Raw genomic sequence first — 21,818 nt, forward strand, 5'->3', positions numbered from 1 at the left:
AAGTTAGGTACAGGTTGCCTCATATATGTTCATTTCTTTAAAAAATGAAACTATTTTGTCTGCTTTACAAAGAACTGTAGGCAGCCAGGAATCGTGGCTCACACCTGTAACCCCAGCACTGTGTGTGGGAGGCCGAGACAGGCTGATCACCTGAGGTCAGGAGTTCAAGACCAGCCTGGCCAATATGATGAAACCACGTCTCTACCAAAAATACAAAAATTAGCTGGGCGTGGTAGCACGTGCCTGTAATCCCAGCTTCTAGGGAGGCCGAGGCAGGAGAACTGCTTGAACCTGGGAGGGGGAGGTTGCAGTGAGCCAAGATCACGCCACTGCACTCTAGCCTAGGCAACAGAGCAAGACTCCATCTCAAATAAACAAACAAACAACTGTAGGCTATAGTAAAGATGCCAACAGTGGAAAATGCCAGTGAACATTATCAGATTGTATTAGAATAACAACATTGGGATCTTCTAGCAAGATTAACTACTACATGGAATTATGTGTCAAAGTTGCCAATTTAAGGACTTATTTTGCCTTCAAAACTTGTTATTTCTGGAACATCACTCATAGGATTTGTATAAAGTATAATGTGCATACAGACTTATTAGTATTTATTTGATTTGCCAGAAAACTCACTGTTAGAAGCAGTCATGCCAGGAACACACTCATAACGTGCAGCAGCTACAGGCCAGGCTGGCTGATGAGAGGCTGAAAGCGTCTCCTCTGTGCCCTTCCGGGAGTGGTTCCCAGAAATGTCGGTCTTAGCCTCTGACCCAGTGTCAGCGTGCTGTTCTCTTGCTCCTCCCCGATGTCAGTGGATTCATTTTTATCAAAAATGTCTTGATGTTTATTGTTAAGCTTGAATTCCCACACAATTTTAGCACTTCCCCCATTTTCTTGGTGTCTCAAGTGATTTTTCTTGGGACTCAGAGTTCAGAGAAACATGCATTTCCAGAAAAAAGCTGGGAAGGGACTCTTGCATGGGAACACTGTCTAAAAGCACTTTCACCTTGGTTTCTGGAAACAGGCACATTGCAAGCTACAGTTTAGGACCTGATGCCACTTTGAAGGTGTGTCAGCTGGACACAGAAAACGAGGTTACGGAAACAATGGTCCCAGCACAGCTCACTCTCCACCACGCTGCGCTCTCTCTCCTTAGTCTTGTGGGGCTGGAGGCACAGTGGCTTAGAAGTGGGGTGACCTGGTTGTGATCAAAAGGCTCCTCCCTCTGTTCACCATCCATGGAAAATGTGCCTCATCTTGCACCACACACCAGTGGAAAAGGGAATTTTAGGAAAACTAGGACAAACAAAAGTTGAATAGTTAGAGCAGAGCCTCTAGTATGGGAAGAACAGTGCTTAAAAATTACAGAAATTGCAAAGTATAAAATAAATAGAACACACTATATGAAATGTAAAACTCTCATGCATCGTTTTCTAAAGAACAGTATCAAAAAGCAAACAATATGACTTCCTTGTTAGAAAACAATTTGGAAAAATGGGTCTTTTTTGCATTTTTGATACAATTTGCTTCAGTAATGCCACTGATCGCAATTTATTCTAAGGACGTGATTCTAAATGCACAAAAGGAGATTTATACATATGGATGTTGATTCAACTCTTCCCTCTCTCCACCCAGAGCAACCAGGCATGAGCTCATCCTCAAAGCTGGGCACACGGGGCCACTGTCCCAGGATGCTGGGTGCTTGGCCCTGTAAAGGATGAGGAAAGGAACAGCTTTTCATTGCAGACAGTGGGGTCCGATAAGGCTGTTCTGGCCACTAGATGGTGGTTGTGTTTATCGAAGACTACTGGATGCCTGCCAAATATCTGTGTTAGTCCATTTTCACACTGCTATAAAGAAATACCCAAGACTGGGTCACTTATAAAAGAAAGAGGTTTCATTGACTCACAGTTCCGCATGGCTGGGGAGGCCTCCGGAAACTTACAATTATAAGGTCATGCTTTGGCAGGAGAAAGAGAAGCAAGTACCTTCTTCACAAGGAAGCAGGAAAGAGAGAGGGTGCACAAAGGGGAAAGAGCCCCTTATAAAACCATCAGATCTCGTGAGAAACCCCTCACTATTATGAGAACAGCATGGGGCAAACCACCCCCATGATCCAATCACCTCCCACCAAGCCCCTCCCTTGACATGTGGGGATTACAATTGAGATATTGAGCTTGGAACGCAGGAGGCGATGCTTCTGCCCTCTTGACTCTGGTTAGAATGTGCATCAGGTGAATCCTGTTTAGTCCTGGTTGCTGAACCACAGAGGGAGTTGAACATACTGGAGCTTATCCAGGCAATATGACCGTCAGGAAACTGCATCACTGAGGAAGTTCTGAGGGAGTTGGAACTAGACAGTTTAAAGCGACGGCCGGACAAGCTAGTGTCTCCTAGGAGCCAATGGCTAAGGGCAGAGGGAGCAGAGGGGTTCTGTATGGCCCTGGAGTGCAGAGCAAGTATCGGTGAACCGAAGTTACAGGGAGGCAGATGTTTGTCTAAGACAAAGAATCTTCTCGGGGTCAGAGCTGTCCGTGTGGACCGGAAGCCTGGGGAGGGAGTGAACAGCACAACCTGAGAGAAGTTTGAGAGGAGGCTGAGGAGTTCCTCTGCTCCCCCAGGAAGTGTGGAGCAGAAACCACATCTCAGATGCCCGCAGGAGCCAGGTGAGTCATCAGGAGGAGTGGTACAGCTACAGGCACACACATTAGAAATTAAAACCAACAGCAGCATCAATAAATACTGTGCAGTCCAAGCAAAACCTGCTGTGGAGGTGGGATTCAGTGACGCCCAAACTCTGCCGTGGAAAGTGGACGGGGGAGTGTATTGGTTTCTTGGGGCTGCCGTAAGAAACAACCACAACTGGGGGGCCTAAACCACAGAAACTCACCGACTCACCGTTCTGGAGGCTGGAAGACCAAGATCAAAGTGTTGGCCGAGCCATGCTCCTGCTGAAGCCGCTGGGGGAGGCTCCGTGTAGTTTCTGGGAGCCCCAGGCATTTGTGGCGTGTGGCAGCATCTCTCCGATCTCTGCCTCCATCTTCACACGGCGGTCTCTGCTCTGTGTGTGTCCAGATTTCCCTCTTCTTAATAAGGACGCTTGTCCCACTGGGTTCAGAGTCCACCCTACTCCAGCATGAGCTCATCTTCATTTAATTAAATGCATCTGCAATGACCTTTCCTGAATTAGGTCATACCCTGGGGTGACTTTCTCTTTTTGGGGGACACAATTCAGTTCCTAACAGGGAGTCTGAAGTCCACCCTGCTGGACACTTGTCAGCCTGGAACAACACCTCGCTTTGGAGGGGCTTTTGGCTTATGCGTGGGTTTTTGCCTGTCTCATATTCCTTGCTTGAGTAAGCTTCCTCCTTCCCACCAAACTGCGAGGTCCCAGCACCATTTAGTGGCTGAACCACCTTCTCTCTGCAGAAGAGGAATAGGGCATCTGGGATGCCGTAAGTAAGAGCTGAGAGGGGCTTGGAGGACCTCTCTGAGGTCCCTCTCCGGGGGCGGGACCTCTTCTGCTTGGAACCCTCTGGCTCAGAGGCAGGCACTGAAGGCTTCTGGAGGCAGAACCTGTGCATAGCTCCCACACAGCCCTGGCCTTGCTCAGCTGTTGATTTGTGGGTAGCTGCTGCCCTCTGCTGGACAGAGTGAAACGTGCTCTCCTTCCATTTCCTAGGACTCTTGTCTCCCTATCACAAGTTCCATTTCCTTCCTAGGACTCTTGTCTCCCTATCACCAGTTCCATTTCCTTCCTAGGACTCCTGTCTCCCTATCACAAGTTCACAAACTCACAGAGCAGAAAAGGGCCAGAAGGTCGGCAGGCCCAGCCCCATTATTCAGAGGCGGATACTGAGGCCAGAGAGGGGAAAGGCCTTGTTTAAGGTCACACAGATAGTTAGAGTAGGAGCTGGGACTAGAAATGGGTGGCCCTCCCTCAGCAGGGTCTGGAGGTGTGGGGTCCTGGAGGAGAAAGAGAAGGCACCTTACTCCTAGTAGAGACACCAGAAGGCTGGTGGGCAGTGTAACCAGGACCACCAGGTCAGCCCACCCACGTAGGAAAATCCCCTATCAGGCTGTGTGAGTGATCCCAGCTTTGCCTAACTCCACAATCCTAAAAAGTCACCTATAAACAGAATCTTTGTCAGTCAGATTATTTTCCCCTCTACCACCTTCTGTGTCCCAGATGCAGTTTTTGTGGCTGTTACCAATTTCATCATACAAGGCCCAGGGAGAGTATAGTAGGGCAAGCGCATTGCTCTAACAAATAGACCCCAAATGTATAATAACTCAAAGAAAAGGGAAGTTTACTTTTTGCTCGTTAATAGTTCAGTGAGCCTAGCAGAAAAGGGAGGGGAATGGCCGGGCGCCGTAGCTAAAGCCTGTAATCCCAGCACTTTGGGAGGCCGAGGCAGGTGGATCATGAAGTCAGGAAATCGAGACCATCCTGGCTAACACGGTGAAACCTCGTCTCTACTAAAAATACAAAAAATTAGCTGGACATGGTGGCAGGCCCCTATAGTCCGGGCTACTCGGGAGGCTGAGGCAGGAGAATGGCGTGAACCCGGGAGGCGGGGCTTGCAGTGAGCCGAGATCGCGCCACTGCACTCCAGCCCCGGTGAAAAAAACAAGATTGTCTCCAGTGGCCCTTCCTCACTTGGGTACCACTGAGTCTCTGATAAATGACTTAGTTATCAGATTTGGTTTCTAAATTTGGTGGATGTGGAGACAGAGCTGTGATCATCTTTGGTGCCCTATTAATTCCAGACTCTTTAAGTAGATAGCATATGAGAGCAGAGTTCACCTTTTCCACCCAAAGAATGTTACACCTCTCCAGGATGGTGCCGCAGGAACCTCCACTCTGTCTAAATACTGAGACATCCTCTGGCTGAGCCTGATCAGAATATGAAATTGAGGCAGGAAAAAAGTTTGGACCTGAAATTTTCTTTTTATCTTGAAATGGCAAGTGAATTTAGTCTTTGAGCTTTCATTTCCTACTGGGAATTTCATAATGGTACATTGTTTCTATTACACTGTAGGGCATCTTATTGTTGGCATTTTATTATTGGGGTATCTTAATTTGTCATTTAATCTCCCTTTGGAACATGGGATGAGCTCTCTCAGACCATGTTGTTCCTGGTCCAAGCCGAGGGTCAGGCTGCTGATTCTCGCGGCCCAATAACAAGATGCAGTTGAACTGGGAAGGAAGGAAGTTTATTTTTGTAACCGGGTACAGGGAGAAGGCCTGGAATATATCACCAGACTAACTCAAAATTACAAAGCTTTCCAGGGTTTATATACCTTCTAAGCCATATGTCTACATGTAAGTGTGCATTCATCTAAAGACGTAAGTGATTAACTTCTTCTAATCCATAACTAAGGTGTGAAGACCTTCTTCTGGAGCCTCAGTAAATGTATTGAATCTAGATGGGTCCAAGTGCTGGGGTGATTACCCTTATCACATCTCCTGCTAAATCACGGAGGTTTGAGGAGTTCATTTAGACCTCCAATAAAACTTGTGTCTTCAGACCCCCAGTAAAAACTTTTCTTTTCTTTTTTTTTTTTTTTGAGATGGAGTCTCACTCTGTTGCCCAGGCTGAAGTGCAGTGGTGTGATCCCAGGTCACTGCAACCTCCGCTTTCTGGGTTCAAGCGATTCTCCTGCCCCAGCCTCCTGAGTAGTTGGGACTACAGGCTCCCGCCACCATGCTTGGCTCATTTTGGTACTTTTAGTAGAGACAGAGTTTCACCATGTTGGCCAGGAGGCTGGTCTCAAACTCCTGACCTCAGGTGATCTGCCTGCCTCAGCCTCCCAAAGTGCTGAGATTATAGGTGTGAGCCACCGTACCCAGCCAATAAAAACTTACTTAATCCTAAATGGGTCTGGTTAAGAATTCCTTCCTCCTCTTGTCATGGTTCAAGGCACAGGAAAGACTTAGGCAAAAACTTGTGGTGGGCTTTTGTTCTATTCCAGCCTTTGTATAAGGTTACTGGCTCTTTCAACTTTTAATATTTAACTTAACCACTCAGTCAGCGCTGAAACAGTTGTTACAGAGGCCTGCCTGTTCAGCTGCTAGAGAGACCTAGGATGCCACAGTGTGGATGGGTAGAATTTGGGATGGGAAGTAGACTAAGGAGGGAATTTTCAGCCAAGGGTACAGTGTCCTTGGAGAGAATTTGATGTATACATTTTAACTGTTCCAGCCTCAACTGATGCTTGGTTCATCTCCCAGGACTCTGCTTTCCCCACAGTCCTCTCCAATGGGTGATCCTTCATCCCTGGGCTGCTCTAGACCACAACCTCTGTGTCTTGGGTAAAACCTTGCTCCACTGAAGTTCTTGGCACTTCCAGTCTAGTCAGTGCCCACCATCTGCCAACCTCCTACTGTCTGCCTTCATCAGTGAAGACCGTAATCATAGGCTCTCAGCTTCCTTCCCACTCAGAAGCCTCCCGTGACCCTGGATGACATCAACACATTCCCATGAAGGGCCGTACTAACACCCAAGCCTACCCTATTGCTTCAGTCTCTTGACCTACAATCATCCCCATCTCCACCCACATTAATGACAATTCTCATGGCAAATAATGACAATTTGTCATTATTCAGAAATGTACCGTTTCTGAGATATAGGTTTATTATCCCTAATCTGAAAATCTGAAATTTGAAATGCTCTAAAATCCAAAACCTTTTGAGCACCATTGTGATGCTCAAAGGAAACAATCATTGGAGAATTTTGGATTTCACGTTTTCAGATTAGGGGTGCTGAACCTGTATAATGCAAATATTCCAAAATCTGAAAACATCTGAAATCTGAAACACTTCTGGTCCCAAGCATTTTGGATAAGAAATATGCAACCAGTATTACCTTCAACATCCCACTCTCTCTAACTGTAAACTTCCATCCTTCTAGCTCTCTAATTTACTTATTTCTTCACTTCTCCTTGTAAATGTTAAAGGAAAATAAATCTTGGGACCTCAAAGTCACTAAGCCAAAGGGAAAAGTCAATCTGGAAACTGCACGCAAACCTGCCTCTCATTATATTCCTAAACAAGATAGCTAGACAGAACTCAAAGTCATCCCTCTGCTCACGTGAGACAAATGCATAGCTGATTGCTTCCTTTGCCCTGTTGTTTCACTGAGCCAGGCTAAGGCTTAAGTGATTAGTCCTGTAAATTGTGTATTCAGTGAAAGGCTTATTAGAAACTCAAAAGAATGCAACTGTTTTTCTCTTATCTACCTATCACCTGGAAGCCCCCTCCCTGTTTCCAGTCATCCCACCTTTTTGGACCACCTGATATATGTCTTAACATATATTGATTGATATCTCATGTCTCCCTAAAATGTGTAAAACCAAGCTGTGCCCCAACCACCTTGCACACGTCAACAGAACCTCCTGAGGCTATGTCATGGATGTGTCCTTAACCTTGGCAAAATAAACTTTCTAAATTGACTGAGACCCATATCAGATATTTTGTGTTCACAATTGGTAATCACAGAGGGATTCTGAGTGAAGATGCCTCGATCTTTGACAAATCTCCTATCAGTGCGTGGTAGCAGCCTGAGCTGTCTTTATGGCTGAAACCAATAGGACAATTGGCTGAGGCCTGGGAGCCACCCCACCCCCAGAGAATCCCTGATCTCCCCAAATTTGTTGAGATCTGAAGTTTATTTTGCTGTGCAACTCCTTTTTTGGAGTTTTACTTGCTTCCAACAAGGAAGGCAAATTTTCCTGCGTCCATGATGATGGAAGGCAGGTAACTCCTTTCTGGAGTTTGAGCTCGTTTCCAGCAGGGAAGATGAGTTTCAGTTTTTTCCTGCTTCTAGGATGGGAGAGAGCAGACTTCAGCCTGAGACTCATTACTAGGTAAGTAGCTGAATTGGAGTTTTGTCTTGGCTAGAGTTAAGACTAACAGCCAGCTGGTCTTAATTTCTCCTTACTATTAGAGCACTCAGTGACCACATAAATTGTGTGATTGTTTGTTTGTTTCACTTAACTGTTTTTGTTGTTGTTGTTGTTGCTGTTTGTTTCTGTTTCTTGTTGTTTTCATCTTTTTCCCATTGGGTTTGACCAACTCTATCCAACTTGATCAAATCCGAAGGAAAATTCCAAATTATGGAGAACAAGACCTCTGAATTGGCTAAATTCCTGCAACTGAAAAAGAAAAAAGAAAAAAACAGCTAGCAAAAGGAAAAAAAAATTTTTTTTGATTTTGACTACCTTAGGGGCTTTATTTACATAACAAGGCCATCTTTTGCTAACCAGGCCAAACTGAAAGAGCAATGGTTGTCCCCCAGCACTGCAGTTTGGAAACTAAGATTCTGTCCTTATTTTCATCATGACTGCCTAAGTTTGGTTCCTAAATCAAGCCCTTTCTGGTTTGGTATTTGCATTACTTTTGAAATATCAGCAGTTTGTACTAGCTAAAATACAGTAATGAGATTTGAAGGTATTTTTTTTAAGGAGCTTAGTGGCTAAAAGCTTAAATAAAAGCTAACATCCAAGGTGTGTGTGTGTGTGTGTGTGTGTGTGTGTAGTTAAGGCCTTTTTTATTTCTCTCCTTCAACTTTTTGAGCAAAAGTTTTTTTCTTCTCCGTCAACCAAATTCTGTTTTCTTCATTTTACTTCTGCTGCCTCTTCTTTCTCTTGCTACCCTGTGCTGCATGAGGAATCTAAAATAGTTTCTAACACCCTGGGATTCCTTAAAGAAAACAGAGAAGGCACTAGACTCCCTTTTGGGGAGCAACCTCTGTTTCTCCTTATGGAACTCAAAGAGTGTAAAAGAGAAAATTTCGTCTCAGATCTTACACTGCTTCCTTTTGTATAGTGTTACCTGGTTTCTTTCTTTCTTCTTTTTTTTTTTTTTTTAACTAAAATAATTATTTTAGTCAAAGAGTAACAACAGAGGTTACTGTTGGGTGTTTAAAGTTAGGAAGAGAGTAGTTCAGACACTTAGAGAAACATTTTTGTTAAAAAAAAAAAAAAAAGGAGAGTGCACTCATAAAACCATCACATGGTCTTAGCCTCATAATAATTCTCTTTTTGGAGACCCGGAATTCAGTGTGGGCTCTGCCCAGAGCTCAGAGATCCAGTTAAAAGGCAGACTAAATTTAGAACTACTTATATAAATAAAGTCAGTCTTCTAATATAATCCTATGATAGATTTCTATAATTTTATGTTTGATTTGGCATTCGTTTTTAATCTCCTCCTACTAGTGAGAGGTGAAACCAGCTGGACTTCCTGGGTCGAGTGGGGACTTGGGGAACTTTTCTGTCTAGCTAGAGGATTATAAACACACCAATCAGTGCTCTGTGTCTAGCTAAAGGATTGTAAATATACCAATCAGCACTCTGTAAAAACGCACCAATCAGCGCTCTGTGTCTAGCTAAAGGATTGTAAATGCACCAAGCAGCACTCTATAACAATGCACCAATCAGTGCTCTGTGTCTAGCTAAAGGATTGTAAATGCACCAAGCAGCACTCTATAACAATGCACCAATCAGTGCTCTGTGTCTAGCTAAAGGATTGTAAATGCACCAATCAGCACTCTGTGGCTAAAGGATTGTAAATGCACCAATCAGCACTCTGTAAAAATGCACCAATCAGCACTCTGTGTCTAGCTAAAGGATTGTAAATGCGCCAATCAGCACTCTGTAAAATGCACCAATCAGCACTCTGTGAAATGGACCAATCAGTGCTCTGTAAAATGGACCAATCACCAGGACGTGGGTGGGGACGAATAAGGGAATAAAAGCTGGTCACCACAGCCAGCAGCATCAACCCGCTCAGGTCCCTTTCCATGCTGTGGAAGCTTTGTTCTTTCGCTCTTCATAATAAATCTTGCTGCTGCTCACTCTTTGGGTCCACACTACCTTTAATTGCTGTAACACTCACCATGAGGGTCTGCAGCTTCATTCCTGAAGTGAGACCACAAACCCACCAGAAGGAACAAACAACCCTGGACACGCCACCTTTAAGAGCTGTAACACTCACTGCAAGGTCCGAGGCTTCTTTCTTGAAGTCAGAGAGACCAAGAACCCACCAGAAGGAATAAATTCTGGAAACACTAGCACCAGACTCTTTCTCTCTGTACCTTGAGATGTAAATTTCACTATCTGATTTTTTTCATCTAAGAGTTCCTTTAATATGCAAATTTAGGGTTATCTTAGCTGACAACTGCCTAGGGTAATAAGATCAAGAAATTAGAAGTCTAGAACTGGAGGAAAAAAAGAGGTCTTGTGAAATGATAAGCTCTACTTCTATCTGCATGTATAATACATCTATGTATTTATGTGTCATGTATATGATGTTTCACTACTAGAAACATGTAAAAGTGCTCTAATTAATTGGCTTAAAGAAAAAAAGGGGCTTTAAATCAAATACTGTATCAGAGAAAATAGAGATTTTAAGCCAAATGTCTTTTCAAGTTCATGTGACTTAAGTATATCTTTAATAAATAAGCTGGTTTTGAAAGTAGTCATGAAATAAAATTAGAATTAGAATGGCTTCAGAATTGTCAACATACACTATTGTTTAAATTTATTGGAACAGTGGTTTCATATTTATCTCTGCTAGATGCCAAAATTTGGCATGAGGGTTATAAAACAATGAATGCAGCCCAAAGGAAAATTATCTCTATGTAAAATTTCATAAATAAGGCATTTAATATTGTTTAGTTAATGAAAACAGCTAAATCCTAAGTTATTGGCAAAAAAAAAAAAAAAGAAACCATTTATCTAACCTTAAGTTTCTTACTTAGGAAAACCTGAAATTCGCAGTCTATAAAAATGATTAACTGGGAAATAACTTTCAATGATAACTCTCAGTTTTCAAAAGTAATCTGAGTAAACTATTAAAAAAATTAATTAGGTAAATGTAATGGAATAAATGCTTGTGATTAAACTTGTTATATAATTTAGAATCTAAAATTATATTAAGTTAAATAATAGGTACTCATTAAACATCTGGGTCATTTCCAATTTAAAATATTAGGCCAGGTGCAGTGGCTCACACCTGTAATCCCAGCACTTTGGGAGGCTGAGGCAGACAGATCATAGTCAGGAGATCGAGATCATCCTGGCTAACACAGTGAAACCCCGTCTCTACTAAAAATACAAAAAATTAGCCAGGCGTGGTGGTGTGCACCTCTAGTCCCAGCTACCCTGGAGGCTGAGGCAGGAGGATGGCGTGAACCCGGGAGGCAGAACTTGCAGTGAGCCAAGATTGTGCCACTGCACTCCAGCCTGGGTGACAGAGCAAGACTCTGTCTCAAGAAAAAAAAAAAATTACAGAAAAATATTTTTCTAAAAAAAGAAATGTGTTCTTATTTAAAGGAAAATAATTTTTTATCTAATTCAAGGCTATTTAAAACTTATGAAACAAGGTAAAAGTAATCGTTAAATAAAAGCAATGTAAAGAAAGTTATAAAAGGTATTTCTGGCAAGAAAAGTTAGAAGGAAGATAATTGTATATGAGAAATATTCTTGTATGGTAAAATTTTGGCCTAGAATAAAACGACTGGTTGTTTAAGAAAGAGGGATGTTCAGGACAAACCAGAAAGTTCAAGTGTTACTGGTAGAGGATCTTGACTATGAGTCATCCAGGTTCTTGGTGTTTTGAACAAAGAATTGGACAAAACACACAAAGCAACGAAGGAATGAAGCAATGAAAGCACAAATTTATTGAAATGAAAGTACACTTCACAAAGTGGGAGTAGGCTCCAGCAAGCAGCTCAAGAGCACTGGTTACAGAATTTTCTGGGGTTTACATACCCGCTAGAGGTTTCCCATTGGTTACTTGGTTACACCCTATGTAAACGAAGGAGTAGCCCATGGCCAGTCTGATTGGTTGTGGGAGGGGACCAATCTGAGGTACTTTCCATTTTTTATCTGCAATGCAGTGCAAAGGGAGTAGCCTCTGATCCTTTTGTTACTTGGGTGTGGAGAGGTGGGGTTTTCCTTTTCATTCAATCCTAGAAACTCAGCACAAATCAGCTTTAGGTTCCCTGTCTCCAGACCCTATTCTCCTGCCTCATTTTCCCCTGAGAGATGTGATCCCCATAAATCTTTCTGGGAGGCAGAGGGACCCATGGTCTTTCTTCCATAACTACTTCATGCTGACTTGGGGCACAGTCCCTACCTACTGGGGATTACAGAACTCTCACCCTGCTCTGTCTAGTGGAGACAAGGTTACTTCTTGGTGGCCGGGGTTGACATCATTATCTGAAACTGACTGGTGGCCCTGCTGCATTATCATAATGGTCTCTAGGCAAGAAGAAATAAATCTGGTTAAAAGATTTAACAAACATGATCCAAAAGCCAAGGCAAGTATAATAATTAATAGTGGACTGGCCAGAGGAAGGAGATGTGAGCCCCAAATTAGCATTTTGACTAGGCGCCCCATGACTCAGACAGCTGTTGTCATATCTTATGGTACCAATCGGCTAGTTTTTGGGTGGCATCCCTTACTAATCCTGTTTGGTTGACATAAAAACAGCATTCTTCCTCTAGGAAAAAGACATAAGCCACCTTCTTCAGCATTTAGGAGATCCAGTCCCCTTCTATTTTACAAAGCCACCACTGCCAAAGACTCTATCTGATTTTGTAAGGTGATGATACTTTTGGGCAATGTCACCTAAGCTTTCCATAAAATCCTTGGACAAGCATTGGTAATAGGATAGGGAAACTGCAAGGCTGCTAACTCTCATTCCTACTCCTGCTGTTATTCCTAGCTCTACCGAAAGTGGTATCAGTTGGATGGCTCATTTGTGTCTGGTGGTTGCAGTTAAAAGTATAATGAAGGATTGGTTGTTGGGAGCTATATTAATTTCGGGGGCTAAATAAACAACTGTATAGGTTCCAGTCCAATTGGCTGGTAAAACATAAGTAGGAACTGGTCCCACACGGGAAAAAGAGTCCTTGTTTTTCAAGACAAAATTGTTTTCTATGGTGAACATGTGGGTTAGCTTGTTGTTTTCACTTTCCCAAGTTATTAAAGTCCCTGGTAAGGTGGCCAAGGGAAAATGTGAACACAGCTAGTGGGCCTACCTTAACGGTATTTAGACTATATATTTAAAGTGTCCTTGACTAGGGATGGTTTCCATAAAAACTGTACAGGTTTTCTAAATGATGCAGCTTGGGTAACTGCATAGCTTACATGATCATGTGAGGGTTTAATCTGTATGGTGTAGTTACATTGGTGACTTTAGATGTCCCAGGGCGGGACCAAAATTTTGGCTTCTCTCAATACAAAGTGTTGCCTGGAATTTTAGTGCTTTGCGCACTGATATGTGCATTGAGATTGGGCCCCAAATGGGTTTCTGAGGGGATGCAACCCCAGAAAGTTTGCTCTGATAGGACTGGGGAAGGTTTACTGCTCATTCTGACATTGTAACCCTTGTCATTTCCATAATTTTAAGGCTATATAAGTCAGCCAGGTTCATTAATTTGAAAGGAGTTTCTCCCTTGTAGTTAGGATGTTAAGTTATTTTTTCAAGGGCCCAAGATTGGGCTGGGATCAGGATTGGTAGTCTGTTTGGATGATGATGGAGATAAACAAAGCCAACAGTGCCTTGCCAAAGCTGGACTGGTGGTATTTAACAGTCTTTGTGTTAAAGTTTTTAATAAATACCCAGAATCCATTAATTACCAGAGGGGTAAAGCGAAACTCTTTTGTAAAATAAAGCTGATTATCAGTATGCATGGTCTTAGTATACACAGGCTGTGGGTGACCATTATGGTATAAAAAAAAAATACTTATTTGTTATTTTGTTCTATAGATAAAAATTAATTAAAACACTTTAAAAGAAGTGATTCAATCCATTTGGAAGAAAGCAATTAAATTGTAAAAATATAAAAATGGCTACTATTATATCCAGCTTACAGTAAATATACAAGAAGGACACCAAGGAAAGTTGATAGGAATTTACTTATCTTTTGGCTGCCTTTTAAACAGGTACTTCAGGTCTTCTACAGGTTCACAGGTTTAGTGGCTGATGGGATCTTCAGGTTCCAGGTCTGGGGGCTTCAGTTATTGCAGGCTGGACCCTGGAAAGACATATCCAACTAACTATTCCCAGTACTTTGACTGGAGAAGGCATGGCCAGTACCACTGAAAATAGTCCCTTCCATTTGGGTTGTAATTGTTCAGCAGGTGATCCCTCCTTCCATGTTTTAACAAGTACTTTATCTCCTGGCCTGATTTTGGGTTGCTGGTTAGTTCCTGGTGTGGGGAGTCTTTGAGTTCTAAACTTTTGTAAAGCCTGCTGAAATTGTCCCAGGTTAATTACGCATGTTACTAAACTGGCTGTTTCTGGATCAGTAATTAGATCATTATTTAAAAATGGCCAGCCAGGAGCGGTGGTTCATGCCTGTAATCCCAGCATTTTGGGAGGTTGAGGCAGGCGAATCACCTGAGGTCAGGAGGTCAAGACCAGCCTGGCCAACATGATGAAACCCTGTCTCTACTAAAAATACAAAAACTAGTCAGGCATGGTGGCACATGCCTGTAATCCCAGCTACTCAGGAGGCTGAGGCAGGAGAATTGCTTGAACCAGGGAGGCAGAGGTTGCAGTGAGCCAAGACTGTGCCATTGCACTCCAGCCTGGGTGACAAGAGCAAAACTCCATCTCAAAAAAAAATGGCCTTCTGTATAACATTTCATATGAGCTCATATTAATTTTTGCTCTAGGAGAATTAAGGGTTCTTAAGAGGGCTACAGGCAATAAGCTGACCCAAATTTCTGATGTTTTCTAACATAGCTTAGCTAACACCCATTTTAAGAGCTTGATTAGCCCTTTCTACTTTCCCATGTAAATAATTTTTGATTCTGAGAGCCTTAGCAGCCCCTTGAGTTCTAAAAGATGGGTCTTTATCACTTTAGAGGCTTTGGGGTAACCCAAACTAGGGGATTTATTTCCTTTAAAAGAAGCTTAGCAACTTCATGAGCCTTCTTTGTTCTCATAGAGCAAGCTTCAACCCAGCCAGTAAAAGTATCTATTACTACTACCAAAAACTTGTATACTTTGCACACTGGCATATGGGTGAAGTCTAATTGCCAGTCTTCCCCTTTAACTTTAGCCAATATGTTCACACACAGAATCTCTTTTACAATTAATTTTTCATAAGCCTTCCACAACTTGTTCAAACCTTTTAGATTATTCCTATCTCACTTAAAACCATCCTTTCACCCTCTAAACTTAGGCAAGAAATCCACATTCCCATGCTTTTTACCAAAGGTACATTATCCTTTTCTTACATGAATTCTTTTCATAACTTACCCAGACCATCTACAAAATGCTTGGACTTTCTGAGTTTTCCTAAACATCTTTCTTTTTAAACAACCAGTCATTTTACGTTAGGACAAGAATTTATCGTACAAGATCTTTTCTCCTACAAAGCCACCATCTCTACAATCTTCCCTCACAAAAACATATCTTCATATATATAACTTTCTTCACATCTCTCCCCTACTTACTGGTTCCTTACTACCTTGTTTCATAAATAACTCTTTTTTTTAAAGTCCATAATTTGAATTAACTTTCAGATAACCTCCAAACTACACAAAATAATTCTTTCTCACCAATAACACATTTTTTGGCATATTTTGTATACAGAATTATATATTAACTATAATTCATATCCTTATGTATTAGTCTGTTTTCATGCTGCTGATAAAGACATACTTAAGACTGGGCAATTTACAAAAGAAAGAGGTTTATTGGACTTACATTTCCACATGCTGGGAAGGCCTCACAATCATGGTGGAAGGCAAGGAAGAGCAAATCACATCTTATGTGGATGGCAGCAGGCAAAAGGAGAGCTTGTGCAGGGCAACTCCCATTTTCAAAACCATCAGATCTCATGAGACCCATTCGCTATCATGAGAACAGCATAATTCAATCATCTCTCACCCACTGGATCCCTCCCCACAACACACGGTAATTATGGGAGTTATAAGAAGAGATTTGGGTGGGGATGCAAAGCCAAACCATATCATCTTAGTAACCTTAAATTTTAGTGAAACCTTAGGAAGCAAAAAATCCTAAACTATCAGATATTAGCATTTTATAGATGAGAATAATTCCACAATTTTTGGAAACATATTCCTCCCTATCATAACCCTTTCTTAATTGGAAATGACTGAGATATCCAATGGGCATCAAAAATACTTTTAAGATTTTAAATTACACAAAATTTACCTAATCATTCATCCCATTTACATGTACTTAAGTCTTTCATTTTTAACAGTTTATCTAGATTACTTCTGAAAACTGAGATATTAGACACCATCATTTAAAGTTAGTTATTTATTTGTTAACCATTTTTAATAGCCAATGAACATTATGTGTTCACCTAAATAAGAACCTCACAGTTAAATACATAGGTGTTTTTGCCAATAACCCAGAAGATTTAGCTAACAATATTAAATTAGTCTCATTTGTCAAAGAAGCCACATAAACTAAGGCCATTTTGTTTTGGCTGGGTTAATAGCTTTATAATCTTCTATGCCAAATGCTGACACTTCAACATTTCTAGCAAAGACAAATATAAAACCCAGACAAAAATGTATGCTGACAATTCTGAAGATATTTCTATTTTCATTTTACCAATAATTTTAAAGCCAGCTATTTAATGAAGATTTACTTAAGTCACATGAACTTGAAAATTGCTTGGACTTATTTATTTAATTTATGAGTGCTTTTTTATTTATAAGCTGATTTGGTTGACACAACATATAACAATAAGTGTACATACAAATAAACACATCTAGACATGTATACACACACACAAACGAAGATCCAATAGCTTTTACCTTGGAACTCTAGCCATGAGATATCAATACAAGCTCACAGGTTTTACATGGTTACACTTTGTTTGCTCCAATAGGTAATCCAGTGAAGGCTGTGAACCAAACATTTTTAAAGCAGTTCCGGTGGCAGTTTGATTTTTAAAGGCCAAACCTCCTCAGACTCCAAAGACACTGGAGCCAAATAGCACCAAAGGAGAGCACCATATGCTGACTAGGCCTGACCCTTCTTAGGACAGCAGCACCAAAGCCTGGATACATGCAACGTCATCCTGCTTTCCCATTCAACAGCAAACTCCAGATTCCAAACAATACTGGGGCCAAGTATTATTGCAAAAGAATATCAAATGTTTCCTCCTTAGATTATCAGGGTCAAATTCATTTCAATGGTTGAGGATGCAGCCAAGTGGGAAGTCAGGTGGAATAAATGGAGTGTTTCCTGTAGTGGTCTGCAAGAGAGAGACAATTCTAAGGAGGCCTTAGTACTAGACCTGAGAACCTTTGCCTAGGGCATCCCCTTTGGAGAGGCTGAGGTCTGGAGTTGGATCCCCTAGGCATCCCCCTTTGAGGTCCAGTCTAAAAGTGTCAGACATCTCTGACCTTAGGTGGGCACCAGTGTTGCTTTGTATGTTTTCCCTCCAGAGGCAATGGCCTAATATGAGCTTTTCTCTTGTCCCTGGATGAAGGTCTCAGCTTCTAGCTTCCTACCAATTTAGATAGGCCATATCTTCCTGCATTCCTTGCAAGACTAAGGAGGTTCCCGAACACTGCAGAGTTAACGGTACCAAGGCTAGTGGGATATTCCCCATGAAGAAATGGTGCAGAGGTTATATAAAAGATTGGGTTTATATTGGGTATATAAAAGATATATAGAATTTCTACGGGGTTCAGGGCAAGCAAACTGATGCCAAAGCAATGACCACCAAGCTCCCTTAAGTGGAGGTCCAAGATGTAGAATGTGTTCTAAAGCTTGTGGGTCCCAAAGGTCCTCAGCCAGTCAATAGATTCAGTAGGAGAAGGGAGGTCAAAATATCTAAGAGATATTATCTTTTGTCCTTACAGGCCAACTTTATGGGAGAATTTAGCTTAAGAAAGAGGGTTTAAGTCGCCTGAAATGTGTGTGAGTTCACCCTGGACGAGCTTCTGCTGCCAATTGCATCACAGGTAGGGATCAGGGACTATAACTCAAAAAGATACAAAAGAGTCCTTCCGCCTTCTGGGCAGGAGAGCTATCCCAGGTTCACTCCTTGGCCTTCAGGTAACAGTAGAGAGTGGTCCCGGCCAGTTTCCCTCAATTACCAAGAAGCTACTAGGAAACGGCCACTGAAAGACTGAAAAAAGGAAAAGGACTCAGGTCCCTCACCTGAATTGGGCAGTGGTGGTCAGGCACTTTCACACAGAAACCTTTCAGTTTCACCAGAGAGTGGCCCTGTTAGAAACCTGTGGTTGCCTCTGTGCTTAGGCACTGTCCACCGAGGGTTCCAAGCTGGAAAGGGAAAAAGAGACAGAGAAAAGAGTTCCCCTGTAAGGAGCAGAGAGGAAAAGGGAAATCAAGAGAAGAAAAATAAATCCCAAACTTTGGGCTTACCTCCTGGCTGGCTCGCCAATATATGTTACTGGTGGAGGGTCTTGACTATGAGTCATCCAGGTTCTTGGCATTTTGAACAAGGAACTGGACAAAATGCACAAACCAAGCAATGAAAGAATGAAGCAAAGAACGCACAGATTTATTTAAATGAAAGTACACTCCACAGACTGGGATTGGGCTCCAGCAAGGAGCTCAAGAGGCCGGTTACAGAATTTCCTGGAGTTTAAATACCCTCTAGAAGTTTTCCATTGGTTACTTGGTTATACCCTATGTAAGTGAAGGAGTGGCCCACGACAAGTCTGATTGGTTGTGGGAGGGGACCAATCAGAGGTACTTTCCATTTTTATCTGTGAGGCAGTGCAAAGACAGTAGCCTCTGATACTTTTGTTACTTGGGTGTGGAGAGGTGGGGTTTTCCTTGTGATTCAGTTCTAGGAAGTCAGGGCAAATTGGCCTTAGATTCCCTGCCTCCAGACCCTATTCTTCTACCTCACAAGCATGTCATGAATGGTCTGGAGTAAATCATAAGCGGATTTATGGAAAAAAAAGCTTTTAGATAATCAAGTTGTCTATAATTAAAGGGAAATTATTTTTAATGGTCTTTCTAGGAATTGGGTTTTGGTATTTTCTAAAAACCATTTATATACTGAAGAATCTTAGCACTTTGGGAGGCCAAGGCAGGTGGCTCACATGGTCACAGGTTCAAGACCAGCCTGGCCAAGATGGTGAAACCCCGTCTCTACTAAAAATACAAAAATTAGCCAGGCGTGGTGGCAGACGCCTGTAATCCCAGCTACTCGGGAGGCTGAGGCAGAGAGTTGCTTGAACCCAGGAGGCGGAGTTTGCAGTGAGCTGAGATTGTACCACTGCACTCCAGCTTGGGTGACAGAGTGAGACTCTGTCACACACAAAAAAAAAAAAAAAAAATTGGTTAGAACAATGGAATTTTCTTGAAGTATTGCTTCATTCTTAATAAAATTAAAATTGATAAAAGACATTATAATTTTTTAAGTAAATTTCAACTTGTATTGCATCTCACTGTTTTCAGCTTTTTCTCCCCTTTTAAAGTGCCTGAAATAATCACTCTATTCTTCAACTCATTTTCAGCTTCTGTAAGCTTCTTTTTTTTCGGGTTCTGTTGTGGTCTGATGCTAAAAATGTTTTCTCTTAAAGGTCTAAAGGAAATGTTTCCTTCCAACATAATATTCTGTGCTTTTGGCTTTAAATTGTTCTATGAAATAAAAAATTTTCACTTACGACCCAGGAAACACTCTTCCTATGTCTAACTGTGTCCAGAATTGGTTCCTGCCTATGGGTTCTTGGTCTCACTGACTTCAAGAATGAAGCCGCAGACCCTCGTGGTGAGTGTTACAATTCTTAAAGATGGTATGTCTGGAGTTTGTTCCTTCAGATGTTCAGATGTGTCCAGAGTTTCTTACTTCTGGTGGGTTCGTGGTCTTGCTGACTTCAGGAGTGAAGCCGCAGACCTTTGCAATGAGTGTTACAGCTCATAAAGGTAGTGCAGACCCAAAGCGTGAGCAGCAGCAAGATTTATTGTGAAGAGCAAAAGAACAAAGCTTCCACAGTGTGGAAGAGGACCTCAGCCAGTTGCAGCTGCTGGTTTGGGTGGCGAGCTTTTACTCCCTTATTTGGCCCTGCCCATGCCCTGCTGATCGGTCCATTCTACAGAGCGCTGATTGGTCCACTTTACAGAGTGCTGATTGGTCCATTTTTAGAGTGCTGATTGGTGCATTTACAAACCTTTAGCTAGACACAGAGCGCTGATTGGTGCGTTTTTACAGAGTGCTGATTGGTCTGTTTACAAACCTTTAGCTAGACGCAGAGCACTGATTGGTGTGTTTTTACTAGTGCTGATTGTTGTGCTTACAAACTTTTAGCTAGACACAGAGCGCTGATTGGTGCGTTTTTACAGAGTGCTGATTGGTGTGTTTACAAACCTTTAGCTAGATGCAGAGCACTGATTGGTGTGTTTTTACGAGTGCTGATTGTTGTGCTTACAAACTTTTAGCTAGACACAGAGCGCTGATTGGTGCGTTTTTACAGAGTGCTGATTGGTGCATTTACAAACCTTTAGGTAGACACAGAGCGCTGATTGGTGTGTTTACAATCCTTTAGCTAGACAGAAAAGTTCTCCAAGTCCCCACCCGACCCAGAAGCCCAGCTGGCTTCACCTCTCATAACTAATTCAAGTATCTCTTTAATTAGTTTTGACTTGCAGTTAATCTAAATGGATTCTCCACAGGGAACAGCAGTCGCAGTGCAGAAGCTCTTTGCTTTTGCTTTTGGGTAACTGGCCTAACAAACAGATTTTACACTTTATATTGAAATAATTCCTATGTCATTATTACTAAGTTTTGGTCTGCTTAGAAAAAACTGAGATTAAAAGAAAAACTATTTTTCATTAAGGTTATTACATCTGTGTAACTTTCTGTATGTGCTTTTAAAGTCCTTGTGCCATCAAGTTACAGGGTTTAGACTCCTGGGTCTAAAAAGGATGCCAAGTCCGGCTAAATCTTAAACACTGACAGCAGTTAAAGCTTTATCTTCAGACCCTGTAGAAGATACCAATCAAAATAAACTGTGTTCATGAGACACAGGGCCAGAAATTAAAACTATTCAACTCCTCAAGACCCAGGAACTATCATGGAAGACATGGGTGTGTGACATTGTAAGGGTCAATTTTGAGAGATAAAATAAGTTTAGTTTCTCTATAAATTAACCATTAATGTCGAAGGCACTGATGCAAGACTAGCATATGGGCCTCTGAGTCAGATTAACAAGGTTTTCTTGGAGCGTTAACCCACTCCTTAATAAAAGGTTATAAAAAAGGCTTATGGAAATTACATCTTATGGTCAAGATGATTAAACTATTTAATATTATAGGCTGTTTATAAAATTTTGGAGAACAAGTTTAATTGGCCTCATCCTGTCTTTATTAAGGCTTATTGTTTGGGAAATGAAGTCTCCTCTCAAAGAATAAAGGTTTTCGCCTTAAAAAAAATCTTTGAGTTATCGCTTTGTCTAAATGAATGACTTTACAATGACCTGTGATCCTACTTTGTGATATTAAGTGTTTTAAACTTTTTATGTTTGACAAACCTTCGACAATCAAATTCTAACTTTGGTCCTCATTAATTTTTTGATATTAGTCCCCTGAAGTCCAAAAGAGACATATTTGGTTTATTTGATATAATAAAATCATACAGGAAGTATTGTCAAGTATAAAACAATGTTTAATCTTCTTTGGATTATATTTATGCACATATGTTATTGGTATATGTTTGAGAATTGTATGAAATTCCTGTGATTCTGATATGACTTGGCATATGTTATCAGTGGTAATTATTATTATTATGTAATTGTGGTAATTATAATTATGTAAAATTGTTGTATGCCA

The 21,818-nt window shown here is 41.6% G+C and overlaps 1 long non-coding RNA gene across 1 annotated transcript in view, besides 1 other annotated feature; it reads right to left on the reverse strand.

The window, feature by feature from the left end:
- Positions 1-16,950, reverse strand: part of GARS1-DT (GARS1 divergent transcript) — a 29,423-nt gene extending 12,473 nt beyond the window's left edge. The window contains exons 1-5 of the long non-coding RNA NR_038889.1: positions 16,820-16,950; positions 15,735-15,881; positions 8,004-8,160; positions 2,902-3,169; positions 637-1,299 (exon numbers count right to left, since the gene is read on the reverse strand). This is a non-coding gene — a long non-coding RNA (GARS1 divergent transcript). The remainder of the gene's footprint in view (positions 1-636; positions 1,300-2,901; positions 3,170-8,003; positions 8,161-15,734; positions 15,882-16,819) is intronic.
- Positions 3,750-3,799: an enhancer, noted in NCBI's record as "active region_25815". NCBI's record gives its function as "activates an Ori minimal core promoter by ATAC-STARR-seq in GM12878 lymphoblastoid cells {active_cell/tissue: GM12878}" and the evidence as "EXISTENCE:reporter gene assay evidence [ECO:0000049][PMID:35858748]".
- Positions 16,951-21,818: the final 4,868 nt, after the last annotated feature.

Source organism: Homo sapiens, chromosome 7 (assembly GCF_000001405.40).
Source record: "Homo sapiens chromosome 7, GRCh38.p14 Primary Assembly".
In the NCBI taxonomy this organism is placed as follows: Eukaryota; Metazoa; Chordata; class Mammalia; order Primates; family Hominidae; genus Homo; species Homo sapiens.